Source organism: Homo sapiens, chromosome 3 (genome assembly GCF_000001405.40).
Source record: "Homo sapiens chromosome 3, GRCh38.p14 Primary Assembly".
Taxonomy (NCBI): Eukaryota; Metazoa; Chordata; class Mammalia; order Primates; family Hominidae; genus Homo; species Homo sapiens.
The window spans coordinates 180,007,527-180,026,422 of record NC_000003.12 but is presented as its reverse complement, the minus strand read 5'-3'; the positions used below and the strand labels follow the sequence as shown (position 1 = coordinate 180,026,422).

Genomic DNA, 18,896 nt, shown 5'->3' with positions numbered 1-18,896 from the left:
CAAAGGATGATGATAATCAAGATGCCCTGTGCATTTGAGTCATTAATATTGATATACAGTCTCTTATATAACCCTTTAGGAAGATTTATGTAAGACAAAAAGAAAGTCTTCTTAAGCTTGAGGAAAGATTAAATTAAAATGGAATCTTGGAGGTATAAAGGTCTTTAGAGTTCACATAGCACAACTTGGTCATTTCACATGTGAGGAAACTGAGGGCTAGGTCTTGATGGCTCAGATTTCTTCAATTAATTGCCTATTCCCAAATTGCAAAAAAAAAAAAAAAAAAAAAGAATGCTGAAAGGCTTTTGATGACATTCATCATACGTCGCTTAATAATTCCTCACATTTGAAGAGGGAACAAAACATAGTGCTTAAGAGCTTCTGCTCCAGCATAACAGCCCCAAGTTCAAACCATGGCTTCACCACATAGTGTCTATGATTTTGCTTGAACTTATCCTCCCTAACCCCCGCTTTCCTCACCTGTGACAGGGAGATAAGAAAAGTACCCACACATTGTGATGACTTCATAAGGACTAGATGAGATAATGAAGGTATAAGGGTCTTAGAATATAATAATTTATCAATTATACTAGCTCTTATGTTTTTATAGAGCTACCAAAATGTTTCTTAACATACTATCTGTGGAATAAAGAGTTTAGCCACGGCGTGCCTGTTATACCTGTTGTTCACAATAGTGGCAGATGCTTACTTTTCTTGTTTTCTCACAGTTCTAGTTTTTTTTTATTTCCTCGTCCTCAATTCCTTGCCTTACATACGCTCTGAATGTTTACTCATCCGTCACTATTCCCTTCAAATGTTACCCCCTCAGTGAGTGCTGCTCTGCACCACCACCCCTCTCCCAGCAATGCAGAATTAAGGATGTTTTTCTTGATGCTTCTTTAGCAGCTTACATGCATTGATAATACAATACCATAATTAACATATAGCTTTAATTATTTATTTTTGTCAGTCTCCCCAACTTCTTGTAAGCTCATCTGTGGCAGTGACTTTATCCAATACATCTTTATATTCTTGGAGACTAGTAGTGCAAAGTATATACTCTTTACATAGTACTTATTGAATGAATAGATGACTTGATGATTAAATGAATGAATGTGAAATACTCAGAAGAGTCCTTACTGTCCTGAGTAAGGACTCCAAAGTGCAGTTGAGATGGTCTCCGTGATGCTAAGATACACACAGCCTCAGGATCTGGTCTATTCCCATGAGCTGTGGAAACAAATGCATATCAAGTGAAGTTTCTACACACTTGAAATGAAATCAATTACAGGGAAACCTTATAAACCTTATAATTAGATTGCCACTGTAATTAACCAACACTCCACTGTCAAAGCAGTCTACGCAGTTTAATGGGTTCAACCTCTTTAAATCTGGAGGACAATTTAGGACTGCAGACTTAGAAATATAATAGATTCTTCTAATGGTTTCTAACTGTATCTCTAACCAGCCAAGATCATGTGGAATTAGAAGCCATTCCTCTAAAGTTCTGGACACCTCTTCACCACTTCAGCTGGTTGTCAACAACAATTTTGATAATAATGCTAACACACACACCCCTGAGACAACTGAGGCTATGACAGAACGTTATGATGTCGGAACTGCTGTCGGAGGCTGTCATTTGCTTATACCCTGTTGTAAGGGTTGCTTATACCCCCAGCCCTGACCTCCCCAGTTACACATGCATGCACATGTGAGTTCTCTCTCTCTCTCTCACACACACACATGCAGCTTTTCACATCAGATCCAAGGAAGGAGCTGTACTCACAATGGTCATACAATGGTCATCCAGTGGACTTGTCTATTTTGTGCACCTATCTGAACCATGGGTTCCTTTTATTCTATTTTTTTTTTTTTTTTGAAACGGAGTCTCGCTCCATCTCCCAGGCTGGAGTGCAGTGGCATGATCTCAGCTCACTGCAAGCTCCGCCTCCTGGGTTCACGCCATTCTCCTGCCTCAGCCTCCTGAGTATCTGGGACTACAGGCGCCTGCCACCACGCACGGCTAATTTTTTTTTTTTTTGTGTGTGTATATATATATATATATATATATATATTTAGTAGGGACGGGGTTTCACAGTGTTAGCCAGGATGGTCTCAATCTCCTGACCTCGTGATCCACCCACCTCGGCCTCCCAAAGTGCCGGGCACAGTTACTCTTATATGTGAGCCCGAAATACGGAGGAGTGATTCTTCCCATTCAGTTACAGGCTAAGAAGATTCAAAAATCCCATGTCAACACAGAGGTCTTTCTAAAAGGAGACAAGAAATACCAGTGCCAGTGACATGTACTACCTTTGTGCAAATAATAAAAATGTACCCTTTCTGGGTGGACCAAATATACAAAGACTGTGTTTTTTCCTGGGGAACACAATCCCACACCCAGGCACACACTTGGTATGTGAGGTAGAGGGTTGGATTTCAGACCTGAATAGTGCCCCCTCACCCAGACATCTTTGCACAGCCAATCTGCACAACCATAGGCATGGCTTTGAAGGGGGTCTCCTCTACCAAGGTGCTAGGTATGGCTCTGAAGGGGGTCTCCTCTACCAAGGAGCTAGGTATGGCTCTGAAGGGGGTCTCCTCTACCAAGCAGCTAGTCTCTCCCTCTCTCTCTCTCTCTCTCTCTCTCTGTGTGTGTGCGTGTGTGTGTGTAGATGAGTGGTGAAAGGTGAATAAATTAGCTCTATTTTACCAAATATATTCAAACACAAATTGGATGTGTTTGCTAAGGCTTTTATAGAGGATGGTCTCTTTAAAGGCTTACTGGCTTTCCTTCCAGCTCTAGGATTCTATTATTATCAGGCCTCTAATTAGTGATACAATACATCTGTGAGTGCTTGGTCAGGGCCGATTCCCCCAGTTTACTACTAACCATATAATGGAAAATACATTTTAAAATTTTGCTAACATCGAGAAGCTTGATATTTCTTACGAAGCCAAAGATCAGCCTCTCCTAATTCTTCAGAGGACGTGCTGTTTGGGAGCATGCTGCCGTATGTCTCCTCATTCTGCAAATAAGACATTTTCCTGTAAAGCTATCCCTGATATAGCAGATTCTTATTTGTGATATAATACTGATATCTCTGCTACAATAGTCACTTTTTGTGACAGTGAGATGTTCGTAAAAGTTAATCTTTAGAGTGCCTCAGTGAGGTTGGCAAAAGATAGATATTTTATCTCTGTCATGCTGATAAAGAGAATGCAGCATACAGGTTGGACCACCTCCCCCAGACTTCCTTGTCAAATCAATTGGGGACTGAGGAGTAGAATCTGGGTCTTCTGTTTTTCACTCTATTGCTTGCGCCTGCATAGCAAATTCAGGCCATATCTCCATGTCGGTACCTCAGCCGCTGCAAAATGACTCAACTAACAGGAGATAAAATGATTTTGCAAGTTTTCTGGACATTGCGGTGGCCTTGGAGGGTAGAAATCACTGATGCATTCTTTCTACCACTTACTCAACACAGATGTAGAATCCAAATAGCTTTACCGATACTCTGCACTCAACACCTGTAACATTTATGCATGTAATACTCTGAGAGCCCCTTTGTGTAGGATGGAGTGCACTTGCTTAGTGGAGTACAGAACAGTCACAAAACACCCATCTTTTATGCAGAAATCCCCTCTAGAATCAGAAATGCCCAGAAGGCCAGAATAATATTGAGGCTATGGGATTAATCGGAGCTCAGAAGCCCAGTGTGGAGACACTTTTCAAGATCCTCAATATTATCTTGATTGTATGTATAAACCAAGCTGAAATATCCCCACTCAAAATTCTATTACTTACCTAAATATTTTTATGTTTTATTTTGTACTTTGCTATTGTAAAACATTCAACATTAATAAGGTAGTTAACCAAGTGTTTCATGTATTACTTTAATGTTTTAACCTCCTTTAAATTAACCCCTCTTTTAAATACAAGACTTTACTTGAGAAAAATCCGTTGCTATTTATTTGAGGGAGTTCTCTTAATTTCTTATGATCTTAGACATCCATTTATGCAGGAAGAGAAAACACCAGCTTTGTTGAAAGGAAACTACTTCTAAATGGCAGGATCAAAATTATTGTGGAGGAAATATGCACAGCTCTTATTTTACTAATCTCAATTCATATTAAAATATCTATTTTAAATGGAACATTTGTTCCCTAATGTCTTAAAATTAATTTTAAACTTTCAATTAATTTAGGAGTGTGGAAGGACTAAGAAGTAACATTATAAAAATCAGAATGTGATAGCATTGATCAAATTATTCAATGTAAAATTAAAATACCAAAATAAAAATCATGTTTTCTTTCATAGCTGATTTTGTTAAAATTAATATTTTAGAAATCAACTCCTAGCACATTCATGTGATTATATTCTGGTTTCAGAATCAATAAGTAATAGAAATTAAATGTTCTGTGTTATATCAAGGAAGCATTACTCCCATCTTCTATTTTAAGAGTTAAAATACATGTGTTTTTGGGTCTCATTTGTCCAAAATTGTTATTTTACCTGTGGCTTATACTGCACATTATTCTGGTGTTTTAATAAATGCTTAAACAGATAAAGAAATGTTAAAGTAACTAAGCATCTATGCTCATCCTCAATATTTGTCCACAAACCAGTTACATCTCCCCAACTTAACACCAGTCTCACTAACTGACTACCTGTACCTGTTCCAACTCAAAGTCAACATGTTCAGATATGGACTCACTGTCACCACCACCAACTGTACCAACTTCCGTAAGGCCTACCTCTTCCCCTATTTTTCTGGATTGTGTAATAGCACCACCATCCACTCAATTACCTAAGTCAGAAACCTGGGAGTCATCCGCTCCTCTCTCATATCATCCTTTTATTTGAAGTCCTTTCATGTTAAGCATCATCTATAATAGTGTTTCTAAGTGCAATCATCTTTAGAATCATTGTCTAGAATGCTCGTTAGAAATGTAGATTCCTGGACCCCACTGCAGCCCTGTTGAATAAGGCTCCCTGAGAACGAGGCCTGGGACTCTGATTCCACAGTTGAACTTAATGCACACTGAAGTATGAAAAACACTGGCCTCCACAATAATATATGACTTATAAGCCCTACTTTGCTGTTTTCTCATCTACAATGTCCTCATAAGAACTCCAAACTCTAACCTTACTAGATTTTGAACATGTCCCCAAATTGGACTTGTGCCTCCATGCCTCTGGCCTTCTCTAGTGATGTTCTCTCTGACCGGGTCACCCACATTCTCACCTACCTGGCCGATCCTTGCTTATCCTTCAAAATCCAGCTGAAGGTATCACTTCCTATAAGGAGTCTTCCGTAAACCTCCAGGGCTGGGTTAGATGCCTTCCTCATGTTCTCATAGCACCCTGAGCCTGTGCAGAACTCTGTCTCAGCTCCCCTTACCCTACTTCTTGGTGGGGTGGTTCTCTTGGCTGTATCTTGTTCATCTTTTCAACCCTGGTACCTAGCACAGAGCCTAGTCATGGTGGGCAAGCAATACATGTTGGATTAAATAAAGAATTGTTGAACAAATTCATCTTTTAATTAGCCTTAATTAGTCTGCTTGGTTTGATTTAAACTTCTGAAGAGTCCCATAGACTAGTATAGATTAAGCATTTTATCTAGCATCTTTGAAGATGAAATTAAATTATTATGAAAATGAACTATTCCCTTTAAAAAATCAATTATTCTTGAGTAATGCATTCAAATTCCTGTCTGATTTTTTTTAAGGCAAGTGTGAAGAACAAAAGAAAGAATATAAGCCAACAGGCAAAACACTTGGATCCCAGGCCTGTTTCTGCTCTAACTTGTATATGACTTGGGAAACATCACTTTATCTCTGTGGGTTTCAGTTTTCTCATTCACATCACAAAAGGACTGGTAGAATCTGAAGCTTTTCCCAGTAAAATAATTTTATTATTCTAAACTAAACTTTAATAAATTAACATTTTGAGATAGTACTTAATGTAATAAAAAAGCAATTTAAATAGTATCTAGAGTTTATCATGTGTATAAATCTTATATATAAGATATATGTAAAATAGGATATATGTGTAAAATTAGATTTTATTGGGGGAGAAGCTGTTGATCTAACTTTACGATAAAATTAGACCAATGTTATATTTATTCTACTTTTTCTACTTAGTTCTAATATTTTGTTGTATTGGTTTAAATTTTTATTTTATCAATTAATTGCATGATTTGCTCATTATATGAAATGATAATCATCTGTTATTTATCCCCATGGATTATATAATTGTAAGCGAAATGAATATCATGGCGTTATTTGACTGAGAAGATTATTTTCATATTTTTCTTCTGGTTTTGAAGACATGGGGGAAATTTTCGATGAGATGTTAATCCAAGTTGTAGCAATTCCTACCTGTGTGACCTTAGACAAGTTTCTTAATCTCTCTGACCATCTCAAATTTGAAAATTGAAGTGTACATTAATTCGTTAAGAAGCCTAATTGTTTGATTTCTGACTCTTGTCGATAAGAACATTCACAGATTTGTTGCCAAGTTTTAATACTGGATTCTCTGCTTTAGAAATATCCTTATATTATTGAGGGGGGACATTATCCAGTTGATAAAGATTATCTCATCAAAACAGAGACCACTACTTCCCATCATTTAAAATTCTACAATAAGGTGATCATATGGAAATTATACCCTCAAACTAATTAATGGGATAAGTTAGTTGCAGTGGGAAGTATTTCTGTTTCCTTTTATCTCTCTGATTTCCTCAGTCCCAAGGAAATACAAATATTTTCATTGACAGTTATATTAGATGCAGAATTGTGAATTGCCTTTGGTATACCCACTTAGAGAGAATTGAAGGAGGAAATATGATGATAAATAAAAATGGGAAACTAGAACCTCAAGGTATGCTTCTACCTTAAATCACTGAAATTGCCTGTTTGCACATTTAAAATGAGGTATCCTCATAAGTCAGAAGTAGAAACCAGAGGCTAAAATTCCAACCAGAGCCAGGAGCACACTTTTATAGAATGTTAGCAAATTTAATACCTTGGGACAGTGAAAGTTCTTGGCAAACATTGATTTACTGGAGATCAGAAAAAGTTGGTTGACTGGGAGGAATATTTATGCATTTATATATGCATTCTTTAAGTAAGCACGATTATATGAGTAAATTACAGTCTACAGAGAAACATAAAATCCCAGAGACCTGGAGTTCAAATTATTGACTTTATTTCCAACTGTGACCCTATATGGCCTTAAACCTTTATGATCTATTCCATGGCCCTAAACACAGCCTACAAGACATTACCCTACTGAGCAATGGAGAAGATTGTTTGGCACACTTCCTTCACACGTTCCACTCCTTTATGCACACAATTAAAATAGACACCAATACACGGAGCTAGAAGAAATGGATTTCTGCATATTGACCATTCACACCTGATTGTGAAATAAAGTTGATTGTATTGATTTCTGTGGCTCTATGATGCCTTTAATAGAGTGGCCCGAAAACTCTAGGCTTGCTGTTCTGGATTTTAACAAACAAACAACAACAACAACAAAAAACAGACAACTTGAACAAATTGAATCTGCAGCAACCTTAGAGAGCCATCTCAGAGGCAGGGGGAGCCCTTTGAGAAGCATAGCAACTGGATGTCACCCAGTAAGACAGGCAGGCCTGGGTGAAAGGCTTCGTGTGAGCTGTCTAAATGTTTACCTCAAGCTTTCTGCAAATTCGTGTGTGTCATTTTTCATTTCAGAGCAGCACCCACTCTCCTATTAGAATGAACAAGGTTCCCAGGCCAACAGAAGCTCTTCCCCTCTCTAAAAACGAATAAAATGAAAGGCAGGTTTGGAAATGACTTGCACAGCCATAAATATTGGCGCTATCTTTAACATGATTTTCACTTCAAAAAATATGTTTTCATTTATAACATAGTTTATATTCATAACTGCATTGTCAAGTCAGAAGGACTGGCCATATCACCAACCAAGGCACCGACTGTTAGTTACTTGTCATCAGCCGGTTAGTGGTAAAGCAAGACTATGTTGCATTCTGTGTTATTTCTTTTAGAATATTCTTACATGAGATATTCACTGGCTAAAATGGTTCCAGCCCATTCAATAGAAAGGTTAACACAGACCTACCAAATGATGGAAAAATTGCAAATATAAAACTAATCGTGACATAATATATATGTATAAAAATATTATATGAAACAACGTATGTTTTACTTTTGTTCATATGAGGTATATGGTATATATTAATAGATGAGGAACCAGAACACTGCCTTTGGTGGGAAAGGATGTTCTAATGTAACGTATATGTTCCATTCAGTTCCTGACACACTGTACAACCATAATAAATAGAAATTGCTGAAATCCACTTTGCCTTTTGGCTATACTCCCAGGAAAGCTTATCTGATTTCCAAACTGTGGGTGCTAAAATAAAATCTGAGAAACACAGAGCAGAATAAGAAATAGATCTCTTCAGCATATCTGATATCCACCTACCCTGAGTCCTCATTCTTCATCTTAATTTTTCTTTATTTTGAATCGTGATTCCTTTCTCTGAACCTCAACCTTTTCTCAGAAGTGCTTATCCAAGTCATGTTTATAGAAGTAAATACTTATTCATTCATTCATTATCAAATATTTTTTAGCATCTTATCTTCTTACAGAAACAAAGCTTTATGATATTCCCTCTTATTTGGGAACTTAAAAGTTAGCTGAAAAGACACAAACTTATGTAGGAAGATCAGATTTAAATAAAATAAAGAAATAAATAATTTTTATAAGGAAATATAATTATATATAAAGTATATGGAAAATGGGTATTTGAAAATATGGCTCAGTTGTACATGAGTGACAGAAGTACACACTCAGTTTGAGAGTAAATTAATAGGTCATATGTATAGTGTTTTGAATTAAATATTGAAAGATAGTCCCCAATCAAATAGAATGGTTTTTAAAATCTCTATTAAAAATGGCAACTTTTCACATAGTTCACACTGATAACGGCTTTAAAATACATTTTAGGAATGTATAAGAGAGAGAAACTTGCAAAGGCATCCTGGGGCTTGAATCTGTAATCCATATATTCTTTTTTCCAGTGTTATTTCAAAACCTAGATGTTATGTGAGGAAAATGTCCCTTTCCCAAAACAGCAGAGAGAAAATCATAAAAGATATTTCCGTCTGGGGATGTGTAAACATTTAAGTTTGGTAAACAGCCATTTCAAGCTATTCATAAGTCAAAAATATGGTGGCGTAGTGGTTCTCCCGATTTCCTTTAGACCAAAATTTAGACTCAAATCTGTAAACAGATCTTTTTTTATTTTATCATGAGACAGCAATTTACCCACTAGAGAAAATCTTGTATAGATGTTAAGCTAGTATAAAATTTCATCATGAAAATATAACTTCATAAATAAATATGATGTGTTAATGAACATTACTCACTCTTTTTACATAAAAAGTTAGCAATAAAATATGAAATTAAATACTTGGATTCATGAATCTATAATGCTCTGTTCTTTAGGATTCCTGTGGAATTAAGTATGTTTATTGACAAAGCAAATGATCAAGAGCATAAATGGAAAGCTATTTACATTTGCAAGAAATGTTCAAATATAAATGCAAATAAATCAGCTAAATTAATAAGTAGGAACATTTAAGAATAACACTTTACAACTAAGTATAGATTTACATCAGAAAGGTAATAAAATCCATCTGCAACCCTGTCTGAGTTCTTGGAAGTTCAGCATCATTCACTTCATGGGTGAAGGTCAAGGTCAGGCATTTATTGAGAGCACTGTCACCTCTGGAGCCCCTCTGGCTCCAGCTGCACTGCTGGTACATGTCTACTTCTTTTGTGATAAAAATCAGCAAGAATTTTCTGTATTGTTCATTCCTGCGTGATAATTGAACCAGGTATATTCAAGGACAAATTAAACAACCAAATTAAAGGTCAGTTGCAGAGATAGGTGAACTGTGTTAGTACCTTGTGAATCTCATCTATTTTAAATTAGAAATTTCTTAAAGACAAGGGCATGATTTTAAACATTCACATATATAGAGAGATAGATATATAAAAATATTTCATAGCACTGAGCTGACATCCAATTAATAGGAGGCTAACTTAAACATTAGAGATAGCAGTAAGGATTTAATAAAACTTTAAGTATTATGATATAATCATTGATCAAAGTCATCCTTCCCCATGGTATGACCTAGCCACATTTTTCTGGAGATAAGATTAACACATTAGAATAAAATTAAGGATAGAATTAAAAACAGAAAGATAAGATATTGAGTGTTGGTGGTGGTGGTGGTGGTGGTGTTACAGCACTTACTTCTCTTTGTGGAAAAGAATGTTTTTTCCCCAAATCAGTCATGCTCACTTGTTGTGACCTAAATCACTATCAGCCATTATTTCTCTGTCTCTGTAGTTTAAACCCAAATATCCCATTATGCCTTTTCATAATTTCATGTGTTGATTATTCATCCTACTTTTACACTTTTGTTTATTTATTATACATTATATATAATATATTAAATATTATATATTATATGTTATATATTATTATATTCTATGAAGTACCTCCTATGTATCAAGACAAAAGTCAAGAAAATTAGTTTCAAATCTCTTCTATCATTGCCCTTCATTCTTCTGACTTAAGTCTTCTCTATAGCTTGGCTTCCTCACCAATAGTGAGGAGATTAATATATAGAATGGTCTGAGGCCCTCTCTAACTCTGAAATTCTAGTTCATGAATAACCATGGCCATCCTCTCAGTTTGTTTATTTTGTGAATTCCCAGAAGTCCATGAAAACACTAAGGAACAATTCACTATAATTAGACATCAGGGATACTGCTTTGTTTTAGTTTTTAATAATATACAATGATGATAATTTTAAAGACTCTCTCACCATGTAAGACAATTATGGATGTTTCTACCATGAATGGAGTCCTCAATAGGAAACATTTTTCTTCTGTTATACTAAGAGCATGACATTAGAATTAAAACACACACACACCTCGTTTTGGAGAAAACAAGTTTTCTATAAAATATAATTAAAATTTGGTAGCTCGTTCGCTAACTTAGCAGAGGTGGGATTTGAACCAGAAATTTGGCTCCAGAGTCAACTCCCTTGTATACAATATTATTTAAAAAATGTGTTTTAAACATTCATCAAATGTTAGCAGGAAGGGATACAAAGATGAATGAGGTGTGGTTCCTGTCCTCAAGGGGTTTACGGAGCCAACCCATCTTCCAGCAAAACATTTCTCTAAGGCTCTGCTAAGGAATGAGACAGAGCCCTTTCTGCCGGTAATCCCCACAGCACTTCATCTGTTTCTTTCTCAGAGCACTTTTACAAGTATGTTATTGCTATTTGTGTTTACCTCTCACATTTCTTGCTTGAAAAGAATATACCTTATTCATGTTTATGCTCTATGTCAGTGCTGAATAAAATGGTTCTGCAATAACAGAAATAGGTACTGATGTTTACATGTAGCAAGCATCTTATGGTAAGTACAGTGCAAGGATGAAATAAAAGCCTTTGGTGAAATAGCTGCAATTGCAAGATCGAAATCACCATAATAATCCCAATTCAGATTTCGGGGTTCGTTTGTGGTTTTTCTTTGTTCCTCTGCTAGAAAAAAAGAAAAAATTTAGTGGAAAGAGACTTGCCTTATTTTTTTTCCAGTAGTATTATACATATAAAATAGAACACACACTTTTTATAATGAATTTTAAAACTGTTTTTATATGACTTAAAAGTTTAGCTTCTTTTACACTACTTTCCGTGGTTTATTTTGTTTTTCCAAACAATTTTCCAGATTTAAACTTTAGACATGCTTTATAGAGACTAAAACTCTAAGCTTATCTTTAAGTTTTAATGAAAGTAATAGCCCTACTTTCCTGTAACCTGGGAGTTTTGTGTCTGCATTCTTTTTTTTTTTTGAGTCGGAGTCTCGCTCTGTCACCCAGGCTGGAGTGCAGTGGCGCGATCTTGGCTCGCTGCAAGCTCCGCCTCCCGGGTTCACGCCATTCTCCTGCCTCAGCCTCCGGAGTAGCTGGGACTCCAGGCGCCCGCCACCACGCCTGGCTAATTTTTTGTATTTTTAGTAGAGACGGGGTTTCACCGTGTTAGCCAGGATGGTCTCGATCTCCTGTGTCTGCATTCTTTAATCTCTTCTTGGTATTAAGGTGATGTGCATTAGACATTGTCCCTTAATTGAAGCACAGAATTCAGGATAGTTCCTTCCTCAGCTAATAATTTTCTAAGAGAAACTAGTGACATGACACAGAAAACATAAAACACATTTCATTAATTTTCATTCTGCTTTCATACTCTTCAAGGGCATGAGCATGGATGCATTACTCCCTTTCCCACCCAATGGTGCCAAGACTTCTCAATGCCTTCAGTCCATACTTGTAGTTATTGCAGTTTGCAATGGAATATGACAAACAGACATGCTAAAGAGGTTCAACAAAATTTAAAGGGCAATGAAAAAATTAAAATTTGATTTTTTATTATGAAAGTCACACGTGTTCCTTGTAGAAAATTTGGACAAAAAGAAAGGTAGAAAAAAGTTAAAAATCAGTCATAATACAATCATTATTATTTTCTTCCAGTTGTTTTTCCTGCATTCTTTCTACAAGTGGAGGTGAATACCCTCAGGGAACTATGAAATACAAATTACATTTTATCCCTATTGTTTGAGTAGTAATTACAATAGCTAAATTGTCTCGAATGCTTACATATACCAGGCGTTCTACTAAGCATATCACATACAAACTTCAGTCCTCTCTGGCAATGCCATCAATTCTAAAGAAATGTTTTGTAGTTCCAAGCCATAGTTGAAGACACCAGATAGAGTCACAACTAATTTGGATCACTTGTGACTATGGAGCCCTTAGTCACAAGTGATCCAAATATTATAGAAAATAAGTATTTAAATGACAAATTAAAGATTAAAACATTGGTTTAAGGAATTTGTTTTGTTTTGTAAGAGAAGTAAGAATTTTAAGCATGGTAAACTTGTATATTGCTGTTGCCCAAATATACTCTTTGCCATCATTTTGATTTACTGAGACCTAATCTGGGTATGAGAAAAACGAAGTATTGAGAATTTTAAACATACACTTGTGTGCACACACATGAAGACTTATATGTGTTGCATTTAATGCTTTAACATTACAAAAAGTGTCATGGGTAATACATTGCTAGGGCATATTATTAAGAACCAATTGTTTATAGTTTTGTACTTGTATAAAATAATCTGTGCATGTTCAGTTTTATAAACGTAAATGCTGATTTACCCAAGACAGCAAAACTGATCACTTTTCCTAAAATGAATTCAATCCAGAAAGAAATACTGCTACCAAAACTACAGAAAGCTCAACTGAGGACCATTGCAGTTTCTTATGGAAGACTGCTGAATAATTTTTTTAAAAATCACTTTGTAACATAATCGTGAATAGAATTTTATTCTTTTAAGCTCCATGTTATGAATACTTGATTTTTTTCAGTGTGATTCAGAGACGTATTTTTTTAATTAACTCTGCATCCCAAAGAATAGTTTGATCATATAAAATTAGAAAAGATTTACTATTAGGTCGACAACCTAATAAGATATAGGTATTAAAAATGGATTATCATAGGTAATTTAACTTATTCTTCAAAAGTATGCTATATATTTCATATACTGGAATTTATTATTCTCTTGTATATTTCATAAAATAAGTATCATTCACCTTTATATTTTCTTGTTGTTATTGAAATCCTTTATCTATTACCTTACATACTTGCCTTATTAAGTTTAACTCTTTTTTGTAGTACCTAGACCAGGGTCAATATTTTTACATCAATTCTCCTTGCTGAGTGCTATAATCATATAATTCTTCTAAAGAAGACAATGGGTTTAAATTGCACTGACTCCAAAACAAAACCTACCAGTTTGTTTCTTTCCTTTTTTAAAAAATAAAATCTGTTATCATTTTGCTTTGATGGGAAGAGGGAGGGTTATTTGCCTCTTTCCCATAAAAAGCAAGAATACAAAAATACTCTGCTTAAATCAATATTGTTTTATGCTAGTCTTCAAATAACCCTAAATAGATCATGGTTGACAGACAGCGTTAACATATACATAAGGCAAAATATCTGTCTATTATCATAAGATTTACAAATAAATTAAATTAGGAACCCTGTTCTTCACTGTTCATCTCAGAGTAGTTTCTAAAAGCCTGATTAGAGATTGTATCACTATTGTGTGATGGGCTATTTACCAAACCTGGGGCAGATGGAATTACGATAATATAAATCCATTTAAGGATTAAGTTATTTTAGGCCACACGTTTCCCTTCTACTAGACAAATTGCTGTGAGATGATAAGAGGAAAAAATCAAATTAAGGGGCAAGATTGTTTTCTTTCTATAAGAATACCAGCTGCCAAGTTGGATACTGAATTTTATGGCTTCATCTCAGATAGTCAGTGCTAAGAAGCTGTGTTCATGGTCGTTCTTCTTTCCAAAGTTCAGTGCCTGGTTGCTTTCTGCCTTTGAAAAACTCTTGCTCTTTTCAGTCTTTTTGAGTTTAAAAAATAGCCCTTTAAATGTGGTCTGTTGTCCTTTCTTTGAAAAGGATAAAAAGGGAAGGGAGCAGGAGGAAGGGATGAAAGAGGGAGTGAGGGATAGCTCACTGTCTAATGGAACCTCATATTTCAGTTATGGGGGTAGAAGACTGCATTAGCAAACTATATCTCATTTTTATTCAAAATTAAAGATTCTATTTTATTTACAATCACTTAAGCAAATTATCACAAAGACCTACTAAAAATGCTCCTTTTTTCCACGTTTTTAAATTTTTTCTATAATGGTATAAGATGGAGAAGACGGATAAGGTTACATTAGTAAAATGCTTGGCAACTTCTGAATGATCAAGTATCTTAGTAACCGTAAGTCACATGCATTTTCTCAGTCTTCTTTTCTGGAGGAGCATGCTACTGTTTTCTTACGATATACAGTGGCTTGCACTGCCCTTTTTGGTAATTAGTGTAATTTAACACATTTTAAAATAATGAAGCCACCTGCTCTGAATAGCTAAATCGTCGTTTACTGCCTAGAAGCTTTTCTCTTAGCAACAAAAAGATATGAAGGAACTTCTAATCCAACCTTGGTTCTGAAGTTTCATCTGCCACAAAATTGTTAGACTCATGATTTGGATTTCAATAATACACTGTAATTGAGAGCTAACCTTGCTTTTAGGTGACGACCACTAAGGATATTTTTCAAGGTGTATTCAGTTTCATGTAATTCACAGAGTTTTGATAGAAAGGAAGGGAAAGTGGTGTGGATGGTGGTAGACTTTCGCTATCTGGGCCGTGTGTGAGGTACTCTCACACTTACATCTCAATTAACCTGCTAATAAGTGGAAGACCCTGTATTTGAACACAGGTCTTCAACAGACCAGCACGCCTTCCACTTCCCCTTGCCAGTTCTCTTTTATAAATGTAACTCATTTCATAGGTGAGATTAAGAAGGAGTAATGTCAAGAAGCACGTTTTTAAAAAATACTTTAACAAATTACACAAAATTATTAACAATGCCACAAAATATATACAAGAAAAGCCAGTTGGGGCAATGGGATATGGCAAAGATGAAAAGAGAGGCCATTATTGAAGTCTTCTAATGAAATGTCAGTTTTCTATAGATAAATGTATGAGATTGATACTAGATGAGAAGGAAGTTACTGAAGAAGAGCAGTTTTAGATACCTTTTCATTTCATTTGCCTTAAAAGTAAGAAAACTAGGAGAAAACATTAGTTGTGTAGTCATTTGATAAACCACCCCTGTAATTATGCCTCTCCAGGCAAACGTGTTACATTTTCTCAGTGGTAATTTATGTAGAGGGTATGCCAGGGTTTCTCAACCTCAGCACTATTAAGACTTCAGGACACATAATTCTTTATTTTGGGGGACTGTCCTTTGGATTGTAGAGTGCCTTCATGCCTGTTGTCTACCCACTAGATGCCACTAGCACCCTCCCAGTTATAATAATCAAAACTATTTTTAGACACACTTTGGGAGGCCAAGGCAGGAGAATGGCTTGAGCCCAGGAGTTCAAGGCCAGCCTAGGCAACATAGTAAGACCTCCATCTCTACAGAAAAAAAAAAAAAAAAAAAAGAGGCCGGGTGCAGTGGCTCACGCCTGTAATCCCATCACTTTGGGAGGCCGTGGCAGACAGATCACACGGTCAGGAGATTGAGACCATCCTGGCTAACATGGTGAAACCCCGTCTCTACTAAAAATACAAAAAAAAGTAGCCAGACGTGGTGGCGGGCGCCTGTAGTCCCAGCTATTCGGGAGGCTGAGGCAGGAGAATGGCATGAACCCTAGAGGCGGAGCTTGCAGTGTGTCGAGATCGCGCCACTGCACTTCAACCTGTGCAACAGAGTGAGACTCTGTCTCAAATAAATAAATAAATAAATAAAAGTCTTTACACACTACCAAATGTTTCTGGCAGGTGGAGGAGAGGGAAGAATCACCCAATATGGAGAACCACAGCCATAAACAAGCATTTATTGAGCACTTTCTATAGGCCAGACACATAGAGGTGAACTAAATTAAGCCCTTGAAGTTACATCCTGGTGATGAGACAGAGGAAAAAAACAACTATATAGCAGAATGACAAGTGTTGAAAAGAAAAATAGAGCTAGGCATGGAACTACAGGTGCCTATAGTTCCAGCTACTCAGGAGGCTGAGGCAGGAAGATTGCTTGAACCCAAGAGTTCCTGTCCAGGCTGGACAACATAGTGAGACCCTGTCACCTTGTTTCTAAAAACAAAAAAAAAAGAAAAGAAAAAAATTTTTTCAGTAACTCATGCTGAGTTCCTACAAACTTCTGCTTCCTTGATCATTTTTACTGACTTTCCTCTGTTTTTATTTTTTAAATTTTTGTTTGCTTGTTTTATTGCTTACATTTGTAAAACTGCTTCACATGCTTTTTGGAGGAAGTCTGAATATAATCTAATAAGTGATAAGAGAGTAGATAGGCATACCTCTGTTAATTCCTGGTTGGGATAAAGTAATTAATTACTCTATTGTGCCTTATGAGGACGTGTAACAAGATAGAACCAAATATTGAAAAATATAAGAAAAGTTAAGGAATGTGATCTGAAAACAACCCCTACAAGCAACCCTTGTATAGTAGTTATTAATTATCTGTTTAGTGAATGAATCCATAAAGAAATGCAGACTCTCTCAATTTTGTAACCAAGAATATTAGGAAGAAGAGAGCATAACACATGAAGGTCAAACTCCAATGAGTGGGAAAAATAAGTTTTTTTAAAACTGGCCTTTAACCAATTAGAAATAGCAATGATGAGTAAAATCTTCATTTATTCATCAACACTATGTTTATACACAATGAAATGAGGTTAAACCTTAGCAATTATTTGGTTAATCTGAAGTATGCAAACATATTAATCAAAACATTTTATTCTAAAATGAACTGTTTGAGCTGAATGAAAAAGCAAGATGATATGGTTTGGCTGTCTCCCCACCCATATTCTCTTCGTGAATTGTATCTCCCAGAATTCCCATGTGTTGTGGGAGGGGCCCAGTGGGGAGGTAATTGAATCACAGGAGCCAGTCTTTCCCATGCTAGTCTCATGATAGTGAATAAGTCTCATGAGATCTGATGGGTTTATCAGGGGTTTCTGCTTTTGCTTCTTCCTCATTTTCTCTTGCTGCCACCATGTAAGGAGTTCCTTTTGCCTCCTGCCATGATTCTGAGGCCTCCCCAGCCATGTGGAACTGTAAGTCCAATTAAATCTCATTTTCTTCCCAGTCTTGGGTATGTCTTTATCAGCAGCATCAAAACGAACTAATACAGTAAGTTGGTACCAGGAGTGGGGTGTTTCTGAAAAGATACCCAAAAATGTGGAAGCAGCTTTGGAACTTGGAAGCAGGCAGAGGTTGGAACAGCTTGGAGGGCTCAGAAGAAGACAGGAAAATGTGGGAAAATTTGGGTCTTCCTAGAGACTTGTTGAATGGCTTCGCCCAAAATGCCGATAGCAATATGGACAGTAAGGTCCAGGCTGAGGTGGTCTCAGATGGAGAAGAGATGAGGCACTTGTTGGGAACTGGAGTAAAGATGAGTCTTGTTATGTTTTAGCAAAGAGACTGGCAGCATTTGCCCCTGCCCTAGAGATTTGTGGAATTTCGAACTTGAGAAAGATGATTTAGGGTATCTGGTGGAAGAAATTTCTAAGCAGCAAAGCATTCAATAGGTAACTTGGGTTCTGTTAAAGTCATCAAGTTTTATAAGGGAAGCCAAGCATAAAAGTTTGGAAAATTTGCTGCCTGACTATGTGATAGAAAAGAAAAAGGCATTTTCTGGGGAGAAATTTGAGCCAGCTGCAGAAATTTGAATAAGTAGCAAGGAGCCTAATGTTAATCCCCAAGACCATGAGGAAAAAGTCTCCAGGCCATGTCAGAGACCTTCATGGCAGTCCCTCCCATCACAGGCCCAGAGGCCCAGGAAGAAAAGGTGGCCTCATGGGCCAGGCCCAGGGTCCCTGCACTGTGTGAAGCCTAGGGACTTGGTGCCTGTGTCCCAACCACTCCGGCCACGGCTGGAAGAGGTCAATGTACAGCTAGGGCTGTGGCTTCAGAGAGTACAAGCCACAAACCTTGGCAGCTTCCATGTGGTATTTAGCCTGCAGGTGCACAAAAGTCAAGAATTGAGGTTTGGGAACCTCTGCCTAGATTTGAAAAGATGTATGGAAATGCCTGGATGCCCAGGCAAAAGTTTGCTGCAGGGGCAGGGCCCTCATGGAGAACTTCTGCTAGGGCAGTGTGGAAGGGAAATGTGGGGTGGGAGCTCCCACACTAGGAACTC

The 18,896-nt window shown here is 36.7% G+C and overlaps 1 protein-coding gene across 14 annotated transcripts in view, besides 1 other annotated feature; it reads left to right on the top strand.

The window, feature by feature from the left end:
- PEX5L (peroxisomal biogenesis factor 5 like) overlaps positions 1 to 18,896 on the top strand; it is a 241,980-nt gene that overhangs the window by 10,515 nt on the left and 212,569 nt on the right. The gene's annotated exons all lie outside the window — the stretch shown is intronic.
- Positions 11,569 to 12,068: an enhancer, noted in NCBI's record as "H3K4me1 hESC enhancer chr3:179732143-179732642 (GRCh37/hg19 assembly coordinates)". NCBI's record gives its function as "activates a minimal SCP1, AML or CMV promoter by ChIP-STARR-seq in primed H9 embryonic stem cells {active_cell/tissue: H9 hESC(primed)}" and the evidence as "EXISTENCE:reporter gene assay evidence [ECO:0000049][PMID:30033119]".